General features: G+C 51.6%; 1 annotated feature.

Annotated features, from left to right (window-relative positions):
* Positions 1,916-3,115: an enhancer, noted in NCBI's record as "CDK7 strongly-dependent group 2 enhancer chr20:34858840-34860039 (GRCh37/hg19 assembly coordinates)". NCBI's record gives its function as "activates an origin of replication core promoter dependent on BRD2, BRD4, P300/CBP, MED14 and CDK7 cofactors, with strong dependence on CDK7, by STARR-seq in HCT116 cells {active_cell/tissue: HCT116}" and the evidence as "EXISTENCE:reporter gene assay evidence [ECO:0000049][PMID:35650434]".

Below are 16,365 nucleotides of genomic sequence, written 5' to 3'. Positions count from 1 at the left end.
GACAGGGCAGCCTGGCTCCAGACCTCTCTCTTGACTGCTGCAGGCCCGCTGTGAGTCCCAGCACCAGCTACACAGGGCAGAGCTTGTTCAGCAAACTTTTTTATTTTTGAGATGGGGTCTCAATGTGTGGTCTCAAACTTCTGGGCTCAAGTGATCCTCCTGCCTCAGCCTCCTGTGTAGCTGGGATTACAGGCATATGCCACCAAGCCTGGCCCTTGTTCAGCAAATCTTTATTGAGCAGCTACTATATTGCAGGCACTTGTGTAGGCACTGGGGCCACAGTGGGCAGGAGCGTGTTCTTACTGGATGGAGACTGGGTGGCTTCCAGACTTCCTCTCTCCAGTCCAGACAGGGGGTGGGTCGGGAGCTCAGACCAAGGAAAGAAAGGTTCTGGGAAGCCGAGGATGGCTTCTCAGAGCTTGGAGGACAGAAAGCCTGATTAGACTTTAGCTGGGTGGGACAATCACAGGCTCCAAATCCAGCTCTGCCACCTGCTGGTTGTGAGATCTTGGGCCAGTTACTCAACCTCTGCACCTTGTTTCCTCCATCTATAAAATGGGGATGATGACGGCACCCACCTCCTATGACCATAAGTAAGGTACCAGCTCGACAGTTCCAGGCGCATACTGATCGCACTTAAATGTCAACTCATCACAGTATTTTGTGTTTTTTGTTTTTTTTGTTTGCTTGTTTGTTTGAGATGGAATCTCGTTCTGTCTCCCAGGCTGGAGGGCAGTGGCACGATCTCGGCTCACTGCAACCTCTGCCTCCCGGGTTCAAGTGATTCTCCTACCTCAGTCTCCTGTGGAGCTGGGATTACAGGAGTGCGCCACCATGCCTGGCTAATTTTCGTATTTTTTATAGAGACGGAGTTTTGCCATGTTGGCCAAGCTGGTCTCGAACTCCTGACCTCAGTGATCCGCCCATCTCAGCCTCCCACAGTGCTGGGATTACAGGTGTGAGCCACCATGCCCGGCCAGCTCTTCACAGTTTTATGATATTACTGTTCAGGCAAGAGCCCTGCTCTCCACTCCACCCAACCCCCACCTGAAGGAGCCAAGGGTGTGCTTCTATTCTTTCTCCAAGACCCCCGACCTCAGGCTCCCAGAAGCTGTCCCCTGGGTGAAAGGGGGTGGCCTACAGGCTCACAGGTCATTGCCCACCCAGCCTCCCCCAGTCACATCTGGGTGCTGGGTGGGTGTTTGTGAACGAAGCACACCATGGCCCACCCATCTCTCCTCCGTTCCCAGCAGGCCCAGAGTGCAGAGGTGGGGAAGGAAAGAGAGGAGAGGCCACGGAGAGGTGAATCCCACCTGAATCAAGTGACAAAAAGGGAACTGGGGAGGGGGAGGGTGATGAACAGAGAGACTTTGCTCAAAGAGATGTCTCCTCGGCAGCTGCCCATAGTGTCGAAGCACATGGCCTGGGCACTGTGCTGCACTGGGTTTGCACAGGACAGCCCTGATGCTTTCCCTCATCTCACAAGGATGGGCTCACTTGTGCTCTAGAGGGGATTAATAAATACGGGAATTCAATGCCAGGCAAGAGTGGAAAGAAGCTGAAATGGCTGAACCTAATGTGGGACCCTCCTCTCTTAGCTGGCGCCCAGACCTGCATGGCTGTCTTGTTGTCAGACGTGCCTGCACGCACTTTTTAGAACCGGGATTGTGGTCCTGAGCTGCCTGAAAACCTGCTCTCCCAGCTTGAAGGTCTGTTGCAGCCTCTTACTATTATTGTTATTTTAATTTTTGAGACTTGGTCTCTGTCACCCAGGCTGGAGTGCAGTGGCGCGATCACGGCTCATTGCAACCTTTAACTCCAGGCTCAAGCGATCCTCCCACTTCAGTCTCCCGAGTAGCTGGAACTACAGGCACGCACCACCACACCCAGCTAATTTTTTAAAATTTTTTTGTAGAGACAGGGTCTCACTGTGTTGCCTAAGCTGGTCTCAAACTCCTGGCCTCAGGCAATCCGCCTGCCTTGGCCTCCCAAAGTGCTGGGATTACAGACCTGAGCCACCTAGCCTGGCTTGCAGCCACTGCTGAGCTGACCACAGGGAAGGTCTTCACTTAAACCTGTGCTGGTCAATCAGGAGACCTGGATGGCATGGCTTCCTCTTTTGGGTGGTGGCCTCTCCTCCCTTCTCTGTTTCTTCCTTTCTCTCTCCCTCCCTCGCCCGTTCCCTCCCTCTCTTTCTGGTTAGTTCTCAGCTCACCTTTTCCTCAGATGGATCTTTCCTTTCCCAACTCTGAATGGAGTGAGATCGCAGAGAGCAGAGCAGCGCAGTGAAGGATGGAGAGAGACAAGACGGTGTCCAGGCCGGCCTGGCCGTCAGCACCCTCGGAAGCTCTGGGCAGGCCCTCCCTGTCCTTCTGCGGGCTTGTTCTCCTTGTTGCCTTCTGCAGGCTCCAGGCCCTTCCTGCTCTGGGCCTTGTCCTGTGGGTTGGCCCCGCATTCTGTCCTCTCCAGGCTGACCCTCCATGCACCTCTGAGACCCACCGCCCGGGCTCACACCTGCCCAGTCTCGAGGCTGCCTGCCCTGGCTGCATCTCTCCCCTCCTCAGAACAATGAGGACTTTGTAACACGTCACATTCATTCTCCCTCTGTGCATGGTCTCAGGTGAGTGGGATCTGGAGACAGGAAGAGGGCACGTGAGGTATCGGGTATGCAGGAAGTAGGCTGGAGAGAGCCAGCAGGAACCAGCTTGTGTGCTCCTGGCTTCCGGGGGGGCTAATTTTGATCCCGGCTTCCTGGGCACAGAGGAGGCTTCCTGGGCAAAGGCCCCATTCAAGGCCAAGGCCTTTCTCTAAGCAATCAGCCTGGAAAGCAGGAAATGCAGCACAAGCTCCTGCCTGGTTCTACAGATTCTGGGCCCTTCCCGTAGACGTCTGTGGAACTCGGTGGAGCCTGCGTGCTGGTTTGCTGTTTAGACTTCCAGTCAGAAACGATGTGATATCAACAGCAAAAACAAACAAAAAACAAAAACCAACCAACAAACAACAACAAAAACCCTTGACCCAGCAATTCTACTACCACAGAGCCTACGAACGCATATGGACAAGAAGCAAAGCTGCTTTTCCAAGCATGTTCATTACAGAGCTATTTATACTGGAGCAAAACCAGAAACCTAGTTCCCCAAAACAGGAGAGTGGTTATACCAAGGTATAAACACAGAATGAAATATGCTGTGGCAGATAAAAGTGATGCCGTGGGCCGGGTGTGGCGACTCACGCCTGTAATCCCAACATTTTGAGAGGCCAAAGTGGGAGGATTGCTTGAGGCTAGGAGTTCAAGACCAGCCTGGGCAACATAGAAAGACTTTATCCCTACAATTTTTTTTGTTGTTGTTAATTAGCCGGGTGTGATGATATCTTCCTGTAGTCCCAGCTACTCTGGAGGCTGAGGTGGGTGGATCGTATGAGCCCAGGAGTTCAAGGCTGCAGCGAGCTATGATTAAGTCACTGCACTTCAGTCTGGGTGACACAGCGAGACTCTGTCTCTAAAAAAAAAAAAAAAAAAGAAAGAAAGTGACACTGTGAATGTAAATTTATGTATTGACATGAACAAATGATCAGTTTTGGCCAGGTGCGGTGACTCACGCCTGTAATCCCAGCACTTTGGGAGGCCGAAGTGGGTGGAAAACAAGATCAGGAGATCGAGACCATCCTGGCTAGCACGGTGAAACCCCGTCTCTACTAAAAATACAAAAAATTAGCGGAGCCTGATGGCGGGTCCCTGTAGTCCCAGCTACTCAGGAGGCTGAGGCAGGAGAATGGCATGAACCCATGAGGCGGAGGTTGCAGTGAGCCGAGATTGCGCCACTGCACTCTGGCCTGAGCGACAGAGCGAGACTCTGTCTCAAAAAAAAAAAAAAAAAAAAAGAAAGAAACAAATGATCAGTTTTACAAAACAGCCTGTATAGTATAATCCCATTATATGCGTGCACACACATACAAAAAAGTCTAGATGCTTTCCAGCAAAATTCTTAACCATATCTTGGTAGTAAGATTTGGGGAAAGTTATGATTTTTTTCTCTTATTTTTCTTTATCTATATTTTCTAATTTTTATTTATTACCTAATTATTACACATTCATTATAGGAAGGGAGGATAGTATTATAATTTTGCATTTTATCTTTTTAAAAAAGTATAAACCCTTTGGCCAGTAATTCCAATTCCAGGAAGGTGTCCTAAGGAAATAACTAGGTTGATTACAAAGAGGTAACTACAAGAATAAACCATGTACTGTTTCTCACAGGGGAGAAATGGACACAAGCTAAAACGCTGGGCATTGGGGATTGGTTGAGCAAAGCGTGGTGTAGTCATATGCAAGGTGCCATGCAGCCACTAAAAATCATGCTGTGGAAGTGCAAATGTTGACTAGAAAGATGCTTGTGAATATATGATTGGAAGAAAAGAACAGGACTTAGAACATTATGTACTGAATCAGCCCCTCTGTCTGTAATATGTGCTGAGTCCTAAGACTGAAAGGATATATGCTTAATTGTTAATAGTTGTTTCATTTAGAGGAGCTGATTACAGGTGATCTTAATTTTCTTCTTTATACTTTCCTGATTATTTGATGATACATATGTATTATTACATAATTTTAAAAATTAATTCTTTAAGAAGGAAAAATAACCTATTCCAAGAGGTCAGGCAGTGAGAGGTGAAAGCTGGGCCCCCTGGTCCTGGCAGCTGGGGGCCATGGAAGCACCTAAGGAGGGGGTTGGGGTTGGGGGCAGCTGGTCCAACACCAATGTGGCGTCTGTCTGCACCTGCACTGGCTAAGGAAGCCCCCCCCCCGCCCCCCCCCCCCACCAGCTCCCTGCAGGCCTGCTCTCTGCCATTCATCCTCTGGAATTAGCTTGCAGAGACCATTTTAGGAAGCCCGTGGGCGGCTGGAAGCAGCTTGTGAGCAGAGCTGGAACCGGCTGAGAGCTGCAGAGAGAGAGAGTGCCCAGAGGAAGACAGGCAGAAAATAAGGGGAAGCCAGCACCTTTTTCCCATTTTTCTTTTTGGTTTGATTTTTCGAAAACAGTTCTCCAGAAAATCCTCACTTTGGCCCAAATGTTTCTTCTTCTGCCTTCCTTCCTCCAGGCCTCCATAGAGGGGCTGAATCTAAACTTGCTATGAAGCCGGGACCAGGGGTCTGGTCTCAACACTTCCACTAACTCACTGTGCAACCATGCTCAGTGGCTCACCCTCTCTGGGCCTCAGTTCCCAATTTCTGTCCAACTGGTCTGGAATGGACTCAAAGTTCTTTGAGGCTCCATGCTTCTGGGATTCCGTTTTAGGAGCAAGACAGCTGGACTAGATGTCTCCAAGGCCTCTGTACAGCTCTGACATTCGAGATTTGTGCTTCAAGATCTTTGAGAGTCTAAAACACACTGGCAAGAGCCTCTGTTTTTTGCAGCTGTGGTCTGGAATGCCATGGTATTAAATTGCGAATATTCCAGTCTAAGTTCTAGCTGAGTGGCTGCTTATTGTTTAAGACTACCTAGCTGAGCCCTACCTTTGCCAGGGGAATGGGGTTCTCTTTGCCAGTCTGGACATGGAGGCTTACATCCTGGGTCCCCACAAGTAAAGTTCAGACCCCAGGTAGCCCCTTGAAGTAGACATGAAAATAATAGCTCACGAATATGGTGCACTCACCAAATGCCAGGCTGCAATGGGTGAGTGGCCATTTGCCAATGGAGCCCCCGCCCTGGGGTGACAGAAACAGTCTCTGTTTACTGAACGTCTAGGATATTCCAGGCCTGGGGGCTACAGAGATCATAGGACTCAGGGGGTTGGCACTATGTTATGCCTGTTTTCCAGATGAGGACGCTGAAGCTCAGCGAGGTCCAGTGACTTGCCCAGGTCACAGAGCCAGAAGGTGGGAAAGCTGAGACCAGAGCCAGATCAGCTGACCCCAGGGCCCTGTGGAACTACTCTGTTGCCTCTGGGCAGCCCCTGGCCCTGCAGACCTCCAATGGGCGGGGCAGGCCATAGCTTCCAGATGATCAGGACTCCCACGGCAAGGAGGCTGATCCAGGGCACCCACCCGGCCGGCCTTCCTTCCCCAGCCAGGGTGGCCATGCTGGAGGTGGAGTTGGTTTGCAAGTAGGTAGGGCCTGTGTTTGTGCCCGCGTGCACGTGGGTGTCATCTGTGTGGCTCCGGGAGGGTGTGTATCTGTGTCTCCGTGTGGGCGTCTCTGCACGACGCACACGCATCTGTGTGTGAGCGCTCAGATGTGGGTGCTGGTTGTGTCTGCCTGTGTGTGTGCTGCCGTGTCTCTCCTGGAGCATGCGAGAGAGACAGAGTGCGATCCGTGGAGCCTGTGGGAGGGGAGCTGGGTGGGGACAGTTATCTGCGTGCTCCCTGCTGCCCTCCTTTGGAGCTCCATGGCCTTGGGCCCCTGAAAAGCTGCCTGCCCCCGTGGGTGTCCTGACATTTTGCCAAGTTGAACCTGCAACCCCCAGCTCCCACACCTACCCAGTGGCAGGACCCACCACCCAGGACCATTGTGGGAACCTCTTGGGCCAGATGGGGGGCTCATATCAGCCTTGGCCTTGGTCCTTGGAGGACAGGTGAAGGCCCTGCAGAAAGGCAGCTGGGTTGCAGCATCCCTGCTCCTGAGCCCAGCTGTGGGTTGCAAACAACTCGCCTTCAGCCTGGGACTCCCCTTCCTCCACCCTGAATCAGGCCTGCGAAGGCCTGTGTCTGTCTTAGGGGGTGGACTGGGAAGAAAAACCCTAGAAAGGAGATTCGTGGTCTAAGAACTGGAAGGGAACCTCACAGTCATTTAATGAGGCCGCTGTCCTAATGGATGTGTGTTAGCCCCATTGGCTGCAGGTTTTACTTCCAAATCTCTGGGAACAGAAAACTCACCTCTTAAAAAAAGCCCATTCCATTGTAGGCAGCTTTGATGGTAAGTTGTGCCTCACACTAAGGTTTTCCATCTGCCTCCCATGGCTTCACCCTATGGATCTCAGCCCTGCCTTCTGGGGGCCATAAGGCTCAACCTTGACCATTTATGCTGAGGCAGGGGGCATCAGTCCAAAGCCTTGTAGGGACCCTCAGGCTGAGAGGTAGTTTCTGAGGCCAGGTGAAGCGCTGAGAACCCTCAAAGACACAGACAGGCTGAGGTAGGGCCATTCTGCTGGGGGCCGATCTCCTGGCTGGGTAGCTGAGAGCCCCTAGGTCCCACCAGGCCAAGGATGGGGGGAGGCAGCTGACACCAAGTGTCCCATGGAAGTTTGGGGATAGCTGCCCTGGCTGGGCCTGGGTCAGGGTCTCGGGGGCAACTCTGAGCCCTGGGGAGAGTTGGGAGCCACTGCCTGAAAAGAAGGGGTGCATACGCGTGATGAATGGATGAGGGCAGGGCTGCGGCTCCACCCCCAGCACAAGATTCTGCTGGGCTGAAGGATGGCGTGAGCTAAGAGCTTGGCACACGGGTTGGGGGGTGTGGACGAGAACTGCTGTTATGATGCTGTTCATCCATCCTCCCGCTCATTCTTCTCTGTGTCAGGCCCAGGGCTGAGGGATGGTGACCTGGAAGTGAAGCCGCCCCTCACCTTCCCGACCCCCACTCCTGCCCCAGAGGATTGGGCAGGTGGGAGAGACAGACTCAGCTCTGGATGTGTCATCATAACTCAGCACGTGCCCAGAACAGTCCCAGCCCCAGAGGCACCGCAGAGTGGGCTGCAGGTATCTTTGGCTCAGTCCCCTGCTCCTGGAGGAGAGGAATGTCACCCCTACCCCTCTGGGACTGGGTGCCATAGTTTTACATTGGCATGGGGCAGAGCCAATGCCTCTGTTTTACAGAGGAGATGCCCATTTTACAGATGAAGAAACTGGGGCTCATAGACTATCAGTGACTTCCTTATTATCCTTATCATGGGCAAGGCTGGGATCTGCCACATCCCAGAATCCAAGTGTCTCCTCTACCAGCCAAAAAGGCCAACAGCAGGGTAATGTGTCCTCAGAGGACCATACTTATGGCTCAGGAAGACCTTGCACCCGGTTCCAGCAGCTCTTTCCATGAGTCACCGGGGACCCAGCTGTTTATACGGCCTCACTTGGTCTCAATTTCCTCACCTGTAACATTGGATAAGGAGGCTTCTTCTGTGCTCCTGGCCCTCCCTGGCAAGCACGCATGCCCCACCGCCCGCCCTGCCCAATCCCTGCTTCTGGAATTCGCTGGCCTCTGACACACACTTAGAAATGAGTGAGTGTGAGCAAGGCAGGGTGGCATCCTAACCACATCGAGGTAGGTCCCCTCTCCTGCCAGGTGATGGACAGAGTCCTGTGGGTTAGAACAGCTTCCTCCAGCCACAGAAAGAGTATAGTAAAGTCGAAAAGTTGCAATCCGCTGGCTTGCAAATGTGGTTTGGGTTCCCTTGCACTGTGTGTGTGTGTGTGTGTGTGTGTGTGTGTGTGTGTGTGTGTGTGTTTTAATCTGAATTTCTTTGCCAACATTTAAAAATGAGACATTTCACATAAAAGTCCAGATTTCCGGCTTCTCTTGAAAAACTGGAAGCTCTGACAAGTCTGCCTTGAATTGGTTGCCCTGGGCCGGAGCTGGGGAGCCAAGGCACACTCTCCCACAGTCCTCGCATGGGCCTCCACTCATCCATGTGTCCTGCCTGATTTTGCCCCCTCCTTGGTACAAGAATCAGGCTCTGGAGTCAGGCTGACCCTGGTTAGTCCAAGTGCGTGGCTCAATCGCAGTGTGACCATTGGGAAGTTCCTGTTTTCCTGCTGATAGAACAGGGATTCCCGTAGCACCTACTTCATAGGGACGCCGCAAGGCTGAGAACAAATGTAAAGCTACTGCGCCCATTTAACATGGCGCGTGGCCCATGGTGAGTGTCAGCAAATGCCAGCAAGGTCTTGTTCACCACCATTTTCTCATTCTCTCCCGACAGGGGCTGAAGCAGCAGCAACGATGCCCTACCCACCCCCGCTCTGGCCCAGCCCTAGAGCTCTCCCTGGGCTGCACATGCGCTTGTGTGGTGGTGGCAATCCTGTCTGGGTAACACATCCAAAACAACAGATCAATAGCCACTAAGCACTGCAATGCCATCGCAGAGGCCACAGCGCCGTCCGGGCTGCTGGGCAGTGAGTTCAAGCTTTTTCTTTTTTGAGCAGGAAACGATGCACCACGTGACCTTGGACAAGTTCTTTCCCTTCGTTTCACCAACTGCAGGATGAGACTGTGGTCTCTAAAGCCCCTTTCAGCTTTGACATCTTAGGAGTTTTACAGGGGGGCAGACAATGAAGTCCAAAGCATTGCAATGCAGGGGTGAATCAGGATTCTTTAGCAAAAACCTTTCATAATGGGGCTCAAATTAAAAGGTACTGTATTGGCTTATGTAGGAGGAAGCCTGGGGATTGCGGGATGCAGGCAAGGCTGGATCCAGGTGCTTCAGATATTTTTCTTGGCTTCTCTTGCTCTTGTCTCTCAGCTCAGCTTCCTTCTGTGTTGGGCTCATCCTCATTTCAGGTACGAGGGCTTTCTGTGACGGGGATGATGACCCCTAGTAGATCTAACTGAGAGTCCTCTAGAGCCACAGCTCTAAAAGCAAGTGGGGTCCTTTTGCGCCTTCTTGAAGAAGCATCCCAGGGAAGATGCCAGGTGGCCTAGCTAGAGTTGTGTGTCTGTCCCGGTGAGTGGAAGGATGGGGTGAGGTACTGTGATTGGCAGTCCCACCAAAGATGACAGGGAGCAGAAAAAGTTGTCCTGAAAGCAAAGGAGGCCTGACATCAGAAAAGAGGTGAACAGAAATGGACTATGAAATCTAAAATAACAGCAACCCTTATTGTAGGGGCCTTTAGTGCAAGGACAGAGAGGAGGGGGGAATCTTCCAATCAATGACCTTCCAAGTATGGACATGCAGAATCTTGAGCAGACGATTCTAGTCCCTGAGAAGCAATAAGAAAAACACTCCGCTCCACCAGACTCTGACACCCAGAGCCAGCCACGTATGTGGTTCTTCTGACTGCAAATGCCGGGAGGGGTCAGGAAGGTTTGTGAGAAGCCCTTGATGTCCAAGGAGGGGATGAGGATGGAGGTGTGAGGCAGCATGCTAGGACTTAATAGGAGAGGAAAAATCGAGGACAGATGTGAGGCATGAAAGGTGGCAGTGGTCCTGGAGCAGGTGGGGCTGAGGAAACATGATTTTGACTATGGCAAAATAAAAAATAAAAAAAAAAAACACTAAGAAAAACTGGAACAAAATATAGATTAATTACATTTCGTCTTAAGATGAGAATGGACTTTTAAGCATTAAAGCAATGGGGAAAAAATCAAAAGGAAAAAGCTCGACATACGTAATATAAAAAATAAAGCATACATTTCAAAATCAAAACATTAAAAAGCAAATGGCAAACTGGGGGAAATATTTATCATATTAATGTATTTGTGATATGATAAATACAGTTTCAAAAACATATGAGGACACTAAGAGAAAAAGGGACAAAGGACATGAATAGACAATTTCCAAAAGGGAAATGAATAATGGTGTCGTCTTCTTCATTCAAGCGGACCACAGAGAGCTCCTCTAACTAGCCCTATCCCACTCCTGCTTTCAGGCTGCTGTATTTGGAGTGACAGTGTCTCGCTTATTGATTCACAGGGCGGGCAGCTGAGGCGAGGCCTATCCAGAGGATGGTTGGTCATTGAGTCAGCCCCTCAGGGGCTTCGCTTTTGCAGCATCTTTTTTTTCTTAATTAAAAAAAAATTTTTTTTCTAGAGAAGGGGTCTCACCACGTTGCACAGGCTAGTCTCAAACTCCTGGGCTCAAGTGATCCTTCCACCTTGGCCTCCCAAAGTGCTGGGATTACACGTGTAAGCCACCATACCTGTGTGTAGCATCTCTTTCTAAAGAAAATGCCTTTTGCAAAAATCAACAGCAGTTCTGGTAGGACAGGGATGGGTGAGAGGAGGGAGGCCTTTGCTCGGGCATTCCACCCTGAGTGGCCCCTCACTGGCCCTCGTTGTCCTCAAGGAGGGCAGAGGCAGGCTCCTTCCAGATCAGAAGCAACCCCACCCGCAGGTACCACCTTGCTCTGGGCCAGGTCAGTCCGGTGTCTCCAGAGGCCCAGACGCAGACACAAAGGGTCTGGGTGGAAATATCAGCAAAGTGTCATGACCCCAGAGGCCAGTGGGTCCTGCCTGCCACCCTTGTAAGTGACTGATACTGCCAGTTGCCAGGCTGCAGCCTCGGATCCACTGGTGATGACCTTGGATTAAGTAACCATCTTTGTTGAGGAGCGCTGCATGGTGGCAAGGGCGGGGTGAGATTCACAGGCTTGGGCTCCAACTCCAGGCGGGCTCAGCAGCCTCTGCTTTCCGGGAAGTCCCTTCACCTTGCGGGGCCTTGGCTTCCTTCTTCCTTGTCTGGACAACGAGGAAGGATGAGGCCTTCCCTGGAGAGCTGGTGCTCCAGACTGAGGAAGGCAAGTAAAGGGCCTAACATAGTGCCCGGCAGCCAGGAGGGAAGCCCCCAACACACACCGGCTCTTAGTAATCACCTCTACGTCCAGGAAGTTCCGTGGCAGAAGTGGGTGTATGAATGATTCCAACCAAGAACCATTAGTACCGACAGAGAATTCACATGCCCTCAACTCCTGTTTTTTGGGGTTTTCTTTTGAGACAGGGTCTTGCTTTTTCACCCAGGCTGGAGAACAGTGGCGTGATCATAGCTCACACAGCCTCAACCTACTGGGCTCAAAACAATCCTCCTGCCTTAGCCTCCTGAGTAGCTGGGACTACAGGTGTGTGCCACCATGCCTGGCTAACTTTAAAATTTTTTGTAGAGATGGTGTTTCGCCACGTTGCCCAGGCTGGTCTCGAACTCCTGAGCTCAAGCGAGCTGCCCGCCTTAACCTCCCAAACTGCTGAGATTACAGGTGCGAGCCACGGCGGTGGCCCTCAATTCCCTTTTAGTCGTATGGACACCTGAACAGTAAGTGGGACCATCCTCACTGCCCATCAGCAGTAAGAACATCCGCACAGGTGCTGATGGTGCAACCACAGTCTATCAGGGGGCCCTGACTCACCCACTGCTTCTCAACAGAGCCACTTCAAGTCCTCCACTGCCACCCCATCACCCAGAAAACCCGTGACAGCCCTCCCAATCCTTCCTCATTGCCCCACCTCCCCAAATGTACCATGGACATCTGAGAATAGGAAGGTTCAACACACCCCATGATGGGACAGTCAAGAGGTAACTCCTGTGCGGGTGCGGGCCCAACAAGTTGGCATTCTGCCCAGATCTGCGACCCTGGGGAAGTGGGGCCTATCAGGCTAGAAGGGACCATCAAAGACATCCCTTTGGATCCATCTTCTGAATCATGGTACAGCACAGCCTGCACCCGACACGACTGTGGCCTGAGTCACTGCTGCCTCTCACCTGGATTGTCACACTAGCTCCTTAGCGGTCCTTCTGCTTCCACCCTTACTTACCCCCTGCAGTCTGTGTCCGACACAGCAGCTTGGGATCCTGTTACAAACAGAAGTCAGCTGCTGGGTGTAGCTCATGCCTGTAGTCCCAGCTACTGAGGAGGCTGAGGTGGGTCACTTGACTCTGGGAGTTTAAGGCTGTAGGCCGCAGTGACAGCGCCTGTGAATAGCCACTGCACCCCAGCCTGGGCCACATAGTGAGACCCCATCTCGAAAAAAAAAAAGCAAAAACATGGAAGTCAGGTCATGACACGCTTCTGCTTGAAACCCTCAACCGTGTGCCCATTTCGCTGATAAAATGGACAGGTCTTACAACAGCCTATAGGCCCTGGACAACCTGGTCCCTGGTTTCCTCTCCTAGTATTCTCGTCTTTGGTCACCCCACTCCTGCCTACTGACCCTGACCCCCTGATGCTCCTCCAATACAAAAGACAGGCTCCTGCCCCAGGGCCTTTGCCTTCGCCGTTTGTTCTGCAGGAACACTCTCTAGACCCCTACATGGCTCACTTGCTCACCTTTAAATCTTTGTCCAAATGCCACCCCCTTTAAATTGCAGCATCTCGGCTGGGCGCGGTGGCTCACGCCTGTAATCCCAGCACTTTGGGAGGCTGAGGTGGGCGGATCACGAGATCAGGAGATCGAGACCATCCTGCCTAACATGGTGAAACCCCATCTCTACTAAAAATACAAAAAATTAGCCGGCGTGGTGGCAGGTGCCTGTAGTCCCAGCTACTCGGGAGGCTGAGGCAGAAGAATGGCTTGAACCCGGGAGGCGGAGCTTGTAGTGAGCCAAGATCACGCCACTGCACTCTAGCCTGGGCGACAGAGCAAGATTCTGTCTCAAAAAAAAAAAAAAAAAAAAATGCAGCGTCTCCCCTCACCCTGCCAGGACTCTCCGTTCCCCTTACCCTGCTCTATTTTGTTTCCCAGGAGCATTTCTCAGGATGGGCCCACTCTGCAGTCTACTTAGCATGCTTACTGTGTGGCTCCCCCACGAGGATGTTAGCTTACTGTGGTCCCTGAGTGCCACAGGCATGGAGCTGACCTCAGCCACCCTGTGGCTTCTCCCCGGGTCCCCACTCTACACTCTCGAGTATGTGGAGACCTCCTCCTTAGGCCAGCCCTCCCACCTCTGTTCTTGGGTGAAGGTCCTACATTTTTCTCCAACGCTCCTCACTGCAGGCGGGCTCTCCTGAAGATGTAACTCCATCTGTCATCCCTTAGAAGTGAGAGGCCAGACCTGAGCCAGGTGCACTTTTTGGAAGTGGACAGAGGGAAGAGGGAGAAATCAGGAGAGAGAAGCAGCAAGACAAAGACCCAGGGAAGAGGGAAATGTTGAGTTTCTTTAGGGCAGGGCCACCTGACACTGGACAATGCAACTGAGACGCCCCTATTTTTTGCCTCCTCCCACCAAGCAGCTGTCAGCCTGACAAGGCTCAGGATTCCTATTTTCCAGAGAAATCGAGGGAGTCGACACAGATCCAGGACACATGAGAGTAGGCCTGGCAGGCTGGGGGTGGGTGGGGTGGTGGTGGGGCAGGGGACAGGGGGAGCTGAGTGCCAGATGAATGCCTGCGCACCCTGCCCCCCAGTAGTGAGCAGCTGACATTATTTCCCACTCTCATCCCACCACTCAGCCCATCTCTCAGCAGGGAGGCCCGTCCAGGAGCCCAGGGTTGGGGGATAACTAGCCAGTACCGGAGACCTTGGATGCTCTGAAGATGGAAGGGTCTAGAAAGCTCTAACAGAAACAAAGCCTGTCCAGGCCAGATCCAGTGAATCTGAGGTGGGGAAGTGCCATCTACAGTCAGCGGGGGACTGAAAAGAGAAGCAGCGTCTGCAGAGCTGCAGGACCACACGGGCTCCCGGATTACTGGGTAGCTCAGGTGAGCCTTCCCCTGAAAGGAGTATGGTCCTGATTTCAATCTGGCGGACGTGACTCAGTGCTGGCCTTGACCGTGGCATTCACTCTGCATTTTCAGCCCCCATGTCAGCAGGGGACAGCATCTCAGTCAAGCCAAAGTCTGATTAGTTGGAGAGACCAGCATGTCCCAGTGCCCTGGGAATATTAAGGAATATTTACAAGGGGATGATGGTGGGGAGATAATGGTAAGAGGCAGTCAACAGTGGGGAACTCTTCCACTGCTCAAGTGGTGAGAAATTCGATGGGAACGAGGGAGGCTCACAGCAGGGAGGGTTTGTCATGGGGACAGCGGAAGGGGTTAGAAAGTCGCTACCTCTGCTGATTCTGCTAATAGGATGAGCCAGCCTTGCAAATAAGAGATAGACCCCATGAGGCCTGCATTTGAGAGGGTTTTTAAATCAGGCCAGGTCCTGCCAATAGCTTCACACGTAGATGTGTTAGAGCTGGAAGGGAGCGTGAGATCAGCAACACCACTGGTTCTGTTCCGAAAGCGTCTGCCTTCCAAAAATACTGTAAGTATTAAGTAATAATTAATCTGTTTTCACATTTCTTATTCATCAAAGACATACAGAGGACTGCCCGTTGGGACGAGCAGGAGAAGACCTAAAGTGGATGTCACTGCAGCCCCAAACAAAAGAGACCTATTTTTTTTTTGGCAGCCCAGCCATATTATCCTGTATAAATGTAGTTTCCGTTTTCAAAACATTTAAAATAACACAAGGGTCAACTTTTAAATACCTGTGGGAGCCCGCAGATTCTATATCAGAAACCTAAATCCAAGCCTTTTTGTTTTTTTTTTTTTTTTTTTTTTTTTTTTTTTTTGAGATGGAGTCTCACTCTGTGGCCAGGCTGGAGTGCAGTGGCGCAATCTCGGCTCACTGCAACCTCCACCTCCCGGGTTCATGCCTCAGCCTCCTGATTAGCTGGGACTACAGGCATGCGCCACCACACCCAGCTAATTTTTGTATTTTTAGTAGAGACGGGGTTTCACCATGTTGGTCAGGATTGTCTCAATCTCTTGACCTTGTGATCCGCCTGCCTCAACCTCCCAAAGTGCTGGGATTACAGGCGTGAGCCACCGCGCTCGGCCCCAAGCCAACTCTTATTTCATGCGAGGAGCTGAGGCTCAGAGAAAACAAGCAGCTTGCTCAAGATCACACGGCTGGCTGGCAGCAGGGCCAAGGCTGGGAGCAGGGCAGAGGGGAAGGCTGCCCTGGACACGTGGGGCCAGCAAGGAAGGAAATCGGAGCTGTGAATGAAGCGGCAGAGTGGGCTGTGGACACCAGAGGCATGGGCCTGACTCTTGTTCTCAGTATTCACTGGCTGTGACCCTGGCAGAGTGATTTCAGCTGAGCCCATTTTCCCATCAGCAAAATGGGGATAGTTGGAGTACTTACCACATATTGCTGAGGATTTCAGTGAAGTAACAGAACAGAGCCCTTGGTAAACAGTAGCTAGTTTTGTTTAACCTGTTAACTGTGTGTGTGTGTGTGTGTGTGTGTGTGTGTGTGTGTAGGGGGCGTGTATCTGTGTAAACACAGGAATACTGACTGACATGCTTGGAGAACAAGGTTACATGATCCAACTTTCAGGTACTGCCCTGATGGGAGACAAATTCTGTCCCAGGGAAGCTCCAGGTACTAATCGCAATGCTGTCACTTACAGGTAATGTTACTTAAAACTGAGTGTGCCTCAGAACTCAGGTCCCATCTGGATTTGCTGCTTCAGAATTTCTGCAGGATGGGACTTGGGAATCTGCATTTTCAGAAATTATTGAGATGTAATTTACATACCATAAAAATCTTTTTTTTTCTTTTTTTTGAGACAGAATCTTGCTCAGTCGCCCGGGCTGGAGTGCAGTGGTGCGATCTCGGCTCACTGCAAGCTCCGCCTCCCAGGTTCACGCCATTCTCCTGCCACAGCCTGTAGCTGGGACTACAGGGGCCCGCCACCATGCCCGGCTAATTTTTTTTGTATTTTTAGTAGAGA

Source organism: Homo sapiens, chromosome 20, assembly GCF_000001405.40.
Source record: "Homo sapiens chromosome 20, GRCh38.p14 Primary Assembly".
In the NCBI taxonomy this organism is placed as follows: Eukaryota; Metazoa; Chordata; class Mammalia; order Primates; family Hominidae; genus Homo; species Homo sapiens.
The sequence above is the reverse complement of the archived record's forward strand: the minus strand, read 5'-3'. Positions and strand labels throughout refer to the sequence as shown.